Consider the following 7,774-nt stretch of genomic DNA (forward strand, 5'->3'; position numbering starts at 1 on the left):
AGAAACTCATAAACGTATGATATAGAAAATAAAGTTTTGCAACATGGATAAGTTTCTCAATTAGAAATTCATTCAACTGCCAGACATCCTGACTCACACCTATAATCCCAGGACTTTCAGATGATGAGGCAGGCAGATTACTTGACATCAGGAGTTTGGGACTAGCCTGGCCAACATGGTTAAACCCCATCACCTGTGTTGGTGCACACGTGTAATCTCAGCTAATCAAATGGCTGAGGCAGATTAATCCCTTGAAGCTCGGAAGCAGGGGTTGCAGCATGTCAAGATTGCACCACTGCACTCCAGCTGAAGACACTGTGTAAGATTCTATCCTCAAAATGAAAGAAAAGAAATTCAATCAACTGAGAATTGAAATATACTACTTATTTACTTTTTGGTGCAGTTTGTCAAAACTCTGATTTATAGTTATTTTATAAAATCTCTTAAATAAGATGTGGCACATATTCCAAAGTTACTATAACTGCTACAAAAATGAAAGCCTTTTAATTTTAATTTAATTTAATTTAAATTTATATTAAGTTTCATGATATGTATGCAGGACATGCAGATTTATTTCACAGGTAAACGTGTGCCATGGTTGTTCACTGAACCCATTACCCCATCACCTAGGTATTTATCTCTGCATAAATTAGCTATTTGTCCTGAAGGTGTTGTTTTCCCACTTTCTTTATCCAGTCTGTCACTCATAGGCATTTGGGTTAATTCCATGACTTTGAATTTGTGAATAGTGCTGTAATACACATACACAGGCATGCGTCCTTGTAATAGAATGACTAATTTTGCAGGTGCTATACACCCAGTAATGAAATTGCTGAATCCAGTGGGATTGGGATTCTGAAAGACTAAAAGTGTGAATCACCACACACTTTTCCACATTGTCTGTACTGATTTACATTCCAAAGAACAATGTAAAAACATTCCTATGACTGCACTAGCTCACTACCATCAGTTTTTTCATGGGTATTAACTTATACGATAAAGATAGCCATCAATTTTGTTTCCACAAGACACAAACATATTTGGGCATTTCTTCCATGGGGAAAAAAAAAAGGCATTTACAATTGCACTTAATGGAAGAGGCCCAAAATGCTGCTCATCATCCTGCAATGCACAGCAAAAGCTCCTCACATAAAGAAATTTTATGAGTACAAAATGTCAAAATCAGAAATTCTGTTTCATCAGAAAGCTTTATAACACAGTGGAAGAGTGCTAACCTGAAGCCCAATGCCATGGGTTACAGAAGTATATTCTCAGAGACTAGATGTCTGTGCAAGTAAGAGGGATAGGATGTTTCAGTGGAAATACCAGTCTTTCAACTTTAATTTCCAAAAGATTTTGAAATATAATGATTTTCAAATAAGGTTTAAACATTCCAAATTGTAGGAGACTGAATTTTAAGTAGTTCAAGATCCAACAGAAGAAAGGCATTTAAACGCAACTAGCTATGCTCCTTTTGTCATGAGATTTTGGGAGAGTCACCTTGCCAGTTGAAAACCTCTGCGGCCAGTGGTGCCTTTGCCTGCGTTTTCTCAGGCCTGCTAAGCTAGCTTTACCCACTCTGCCTGACAGGCTGCACTCAGCTTGCATTATGGGCCAGGATTTAACACCTGCCAAGGGCAAACGTGAGGTAGAGTGGCAATGGTGTTTGAGCAAGTGTGGGGTCCAGCCGCTATAGACAGCCAGGCCTACCAGCTGTTGCAAAGCAAGAAATTTTAGGTACCAACAGAAGTACCATCTCACTGAGATGCAGCAGCTGGACCAGGCATACTGCAAGCAGCTTCCACAGCTGATACTGGGGAATGTAGTGGTGCCCAGAAGTTTCAGGATGCCAGAAACAGCAAAGCCCTAAAGAGGGTGTCACAGCCCTGGTTTTGAGATAGCCTAGCTGTCCTCTTACTTTTGTCTTTCACAACGTGATGAGCAAGAGACATTTTTTTCCCTGTTTGTGTTACAGTTCTTTCAGCACCACCATTCAGTGATTCTCAAATAATAGTTCTTTATCCAGGAAGAATGAGGTAGATGGACACGTGGAGAGTGAGACATTTATAGACAAGATTTACTGAGGGACAGAACTCAAAAGAGATCCTGATTGGGTAGGTCTTCTCCACAGGCTGGATGTTCTGATGAGTGTCCAGCTCTCAGTGGAGAGACGGCTTTAGAGTGGGCAGCTTATCTTTACAGGCAAGTTGTCAAGGCTTAGTGTCCAGCTCTCAGCAGGAAAGAAACCCTGGACTTGGTAGCTTCTCCATCCAGCTGGTCATATTGTGAGATGTTAAGCTCTCCACAGAGTGAAGACCCTGGAGTGGGTAGGTCTACTTCACACCTGGTGGTTCCAAGATTGGCTAAGCCTTCAGCAAAAAGAAGACCCTCGACTGGGTAGCTCCTCACTCTAGCTGGTCATCCCATTATCTCCCCAGCTTTCAGCAGATACTGTGGTGGGTAGCTCCAGCCCACTGCTGATAGTCCTGACATCTCCTAAGCTTGCAGGAGAGAGATGGCCCTTGGGTAGGTAGCTCCTCTCCACAGCTGGTAGTTTGAATAGTCCTCAAATGTGGCTGAGTCCAGGAATATTATTTGCTTCAAAGGAAAGAAAGTGCTTGCTGATTGGATTATTTGGCAACCATGCGTGCGTTTTAGAAAAAAGCAAAAGTGGTTCCCATTCTTGTCCATCAGCCTAGAACCTAGACTTCAGGCTGTAACTGGCTTGAAGGTGGAGCCTCAGTGGGGACCAGCAAATTTATCGCCAAGAGCCTGTGATGGCTAACACTGAGTATCAATTTAACTGGATTGAGAGATACAGAGTATTAGTTTGGCATGTGTCTGTGTAAGTGTTGCCTAAAAGAGATTAACACTAGGGGCAGTGGGCTGGAGAAGGTAGTTCCACCCTTAATCTGGTGGGCACAATTGCCCTGTAATTGCTCTTCTCTGGAAACCACAGTCATGCAACGACAAAATTTAAATATGTTGAGAATAGTTGGATCCCGATGTGACAGGGGTCAAGTGGCACCACTCAAACATCAAAGGTGTGGGTACAGCGAAGGGATAGTGGCAGTCAAATATTATGACTCCTGTAGAGCCTTGCCATTGGTTAATTAGTCACGGTGTTCGTGCAAGTGAAATTGATGGAAAGCTTACTGCATTCATACTTATGTTATACATACAGAAATCGTTGCGTCAAAAGGACAAATCACTATTCGGAATGATGAAAACAGAGAAGTACGGCCCCTCCATCAATTACCAGGCTAGAGACAGTTTAAAGACCGAGAATCCATCGAATGAAGAGGAGGCTGGGTTCCCTTGACCAAGAAACCCACAACACAACTGACTATTTATGCAGTGAATCTTTACACAATCTTTCCCCAAGAAGACCTCCAGGCTTTACCAAAGTAATTGTGTACTAGGGAAAGGGAAATAGTCAGACTTTGGAGAAACTACTGGCCACTAGCTCTGTGCTGATGTGGGTTCCAGGGGACCCAAAATGTTACTGTGGTCCTGCAGTTAAAGTAGGAGCTCAGGGAGGTCAGGTAATTAATAGTGCTTTAGCTTATTAGGTCAGATTTACAGAGTGCCCAGTGAGTCCCTGGAGTCATCCTGTGGTCATTTTCCCAGTGCTAAATTGCATAACTGGCATAGATATACTTAGCAGCTGGCAGAATCCCACATTTCCATGACCTCCAAGGTGAGGGCTACAACAATAGAAAAGGTTAAATGGAAGCCACAAGAGCTGCCCCTACCTAGAAAAATAGTAAATAAGAAATGATATCAAAACCCTGAGAAGATTGTGAAGATGGGTGCCACCATCAAAAATTTCAAAGATGCTGGATTGGTAATTACCAGCACATTCTAATTCAACTCTCCCATTTGGCCTGTGCAAAAGACAGGTGGACCTTGGATAATCACATTGGAGTATTGCAACTTAATACAGTTGTGAATCAACATGCAGCTGATATTCTAGATATGGTTTATTTTTTGAGCAAATTAATACATCTCCTGTCACATGGTATACAGCCATTCACTTGGCCAGTGCCCTTTTCTTTATTCCTTTCCATAAGGACCACCAGAGGCAATTTGCCCTCAGCTGGCAAGGCCAGCAATACACATTTATTAACCTTGTTCAGGTGTATATTAACTTTCTGGCTTCCTGTCATAATCTTACTCAGAGAGACCTTGATTGCTCTTCACTTCTGTAAAGTATCACAATGATTTCATCCATCTCATTGATGAAATTAGGCTGATTTGATGAGTGAGCAAGAAGTAGCAAGCACATTTGAATTATTGGTGAGACATTTATGTACCAGAAGATGTGAAATAAATGTGACTAAAATTCAGAGACCTTCTACCTCCGTAATGTTCCTAGAGGTCCAGTCTTGGGAAGCCTGTCAAAATATCCTTTCCAGGGAGAAGAACAAGTTGTTGTGTGAGGCCCCTCTTATAACCAAGAAAGAGGCACAATACTTACTAGGCCTAGTTGGATTTTTGAAGCAGTACCTTTTTTATTTGAATATGTCCCACTGGCCCACTTATTAGTGACCCAAAGGGCTGCCAGCTTTCAGGGGCATCCAAAACAGGAAAAGACTCTGCAACTACTTCAGGCTGTGTTGCAAACCCCTCTACTCTTTGGGCCATATGAACCAGGAGATTCAATGATGCTTGAAGTTTCAGTGGCAGATAGGAATGTTGTTTGGAGCTAAATAACTGTGGCAGCAGTGTCCTGCTCATTAAATCTACTTGTCTTACCATGTTTCCCATTATCCTGAAGGAGCTGGATAAATAGAATGGTTAAGTGGCTTTTTGAAGTTACAATTACAATGCCAACGATGTGACAATACTTTGCAGTGCTCCCACAGGTGAATCAGACCATACATCTCTAGGATTTTGAAGCAAGGCCCTGCCATTTTCTGCAGATAACTAGTATTCTTTGGAGAGACAGCTCTTGGCCCATTGCTGGGCTTTGGTGAAACATTTCAATGTTGGTCATCAAGTCACCATGTGAACTACACTGCCTATCATGAACTTGGTGCTTTCTGACCCATCGAGTCTTAAAGTGGGTTGTGCACAGCAGGATTTCATCATGAAATGGATGTGGTATACATGTGGCCAGGCTTAAGCAGGTCCTAAGGCACAACTAAGTTACCTGAGAAAGTGGTTCAAATGCTCACGATCTCCACTGCAGCCACCCCATCTTCACTCCTTCAGCCTATGTCGATACCCAAATGGCCAGATTTCTGACTATATACTGATTCATGGTCCATAGCTAATGGTTTGTCTGGGTGTCAGGCACTTGGTAGATGCATGATTAGAATATTGGTGAGAAAGATATTTGAGGAAGACGTATGTGGACGGACCTTTGTGAGTGGTCAAAAGCTGTCAAAATATTTGTATTCCATGTGAGTTCTAACCAACGAGCAGCCTTAGTAGATAAAGAGTTTAATAATCAAGTGGATAAAAACACTGGTTCCAGGGACACCACTCTGCCTCTTTCCCCAGCCACCCCTGTCATTGCCCGATGAGTCCATGAACAAAGCGGCCATGGTGGCAGAAATTGAGGTTACACATGTGCTCAGCAACATGGACTTCCACTCACAAAGCCTGACCTGGCTATGGCCACTGCTGAGTGCCCAATTTGCCAGTACCAGAGGCCAAAACTGAGCCCTCAGTATGGCCCAGTTTCTTGGGGTGATCAGCCAGCTACCTGGTGACAGATTAATTATACTGGAACTCTTTCATCAAGGAAATGGCAGAGGTTTGTCCTCACTGGAATAGCCACTTACTGTGGATATGGGTTTCCCCATTCTTCATGCAATGCTTCTGATAAGACTACCATTCATGAACTCACAAAATGCCATATTCACCATTATGGTGTTCCACACAACATTTCCTCTGACCAGTGCACTAACTTTACAGCTAAAGAAATGTGGCAGTGGGCTCCTGCTCATTAAAACGCTGGTCTTACCATGTTTCTCATTATCTTGAAGCAACTAAATTAATAGGATTGTGAAGTGGCCTTTTGAAGTTACAATTGCAATGCCAACTATGTGACAATACTTTGTAGGGCTGTGGCAAAGTTCTCCAGAAGACCATATGTTCTCTGAATCAGCATCCAATATATGGTATTGTTACTTCTGTAGCCAAAATTCGCTGGTCCAGGAATCAAGCGATGGAAGTAGAAATTTCACCACTCACTATCACTCCTGTGCTTCACTAGCAACATTTTTGTTTCCTGTTTCTTATGATATTATGTTCTGCTGGCCTAGAGGTCTTAGCTCCCCAAGGAAAAGCGCTGCCACCAGATGAAACAAAACTGATTCCATTAAACTGGAAGTCAAGATTGCCACCTGGACACTTGGGCCTCCTCCTACCTTTACGTCAGCATTGTAAAAAGGCAGTTACAGTGTTGACTGAGGTGATTGACCTGAACTATCAAGATGAAATCAGCCTACTCCTCCACAATGGAGGGAAGAAAGAGTGTGGCATAAAATACAGAAGATGCATTAAGATGTGTTCCAGAATTACCATGACGTGCAACCAAGGTCAGTGGAAAACTACAACAGCCCAATTCTGACAGGGCTACAGTTGGATCAGACCCTTCAGGTATTAAGGTTTGGGTCACTCACCAGGGTAACAACAACAAAAGGAACAACAACAACAAAACAATAAAAACCGCAACCTGCTGAGGTGCTTGAGGAAGATAAAAGGAAGGCAGAATGGGTGTTAGAAGAAGTTAGTCATCCATATCCGCTATAAACAAGTGACCAGCTGCAGAAATGAGGACGTTAATTGTTTTAAGTATTTCGTCCTTCTTTTGTTAAAAAAAAAAAAGTTTGTGCATGTATACACATGTACTAAGAAAATTTTTTTTATTTTCCTTTATCATGCTACATAAGATTTATTGAGTTCTTATCAACATTTGTGTATTGTAAACTTTATGAAATAGTGTTTGGATTGGAGATTGCTGCATTCCTGGTTGTAAGAGGATAATTGTATTATGTTAGGTGTAATTATTACCTCATTTCTGTCTGCATTTGAAGATTATGTATTATAGCAGGAGATGTGATTTGATTCGAGTTAACAAGGGGTGGACTTGTGATGCTTAATACTGAGTGTCTCATTCATTGGATCGAAGGATAGAGAGTATTAATCGTGGATGAGTTTCTTGGGTGGTTCACCCCCAAAAATTAACATTTGAGTCAATGGGAAGATCTACATTAATCTGATGGGCACAATCTCATGAGCTTCTAGCGAATATCAAGCAGACAGAAACATGTCAAAAAGCGAGATGGGACTAGCTTCGAAAGCATACATCTTTCTTCTATACTGGATACTTTTTCTCTCAGACAGTGGGCTCCAAGTTCTTCTAGGTTTGGGACTCAGACTTGCTCTCCTTGTTCCTCAGCTTGCAGGCAGCCTATTGTGATCATGTACGTAAGTACTTATAACCTCCCATAAATATTTATATATACATATACACAGGCACACACACACACTCACACATATACATGCATATATAAAAATATATAAAGGGATGGAAAACTAAACAGTCTGTAAGTATTTTCAAAAAGTATTCTTTTTTTATTATACTTTCAGTTTTAGGGTACATGTGCACAACGTGCAGGCTAGTTATATATGTATACATGGGCCATGTTGGTGTGTTGCACCCATTAACTCATCATTTAACATTAGGTATATCTCCAAATGCTATCCCTCCCCACGCCCCCCACCCCAAAACAGGCTCTGGTGTGCGATGTTCCCCATC

Source organism: Homo sapiens, chromosome Y (genome assembly GCF_000001405.40).
Source record: "Homo sapiens chromosome Y, GRCh38.p14 Primary Assembly".
NCBI lineage: Eukaryota > Metazoa > Chordata > Mammalia > Primates > Hominidae > Homo > Homo sapiens.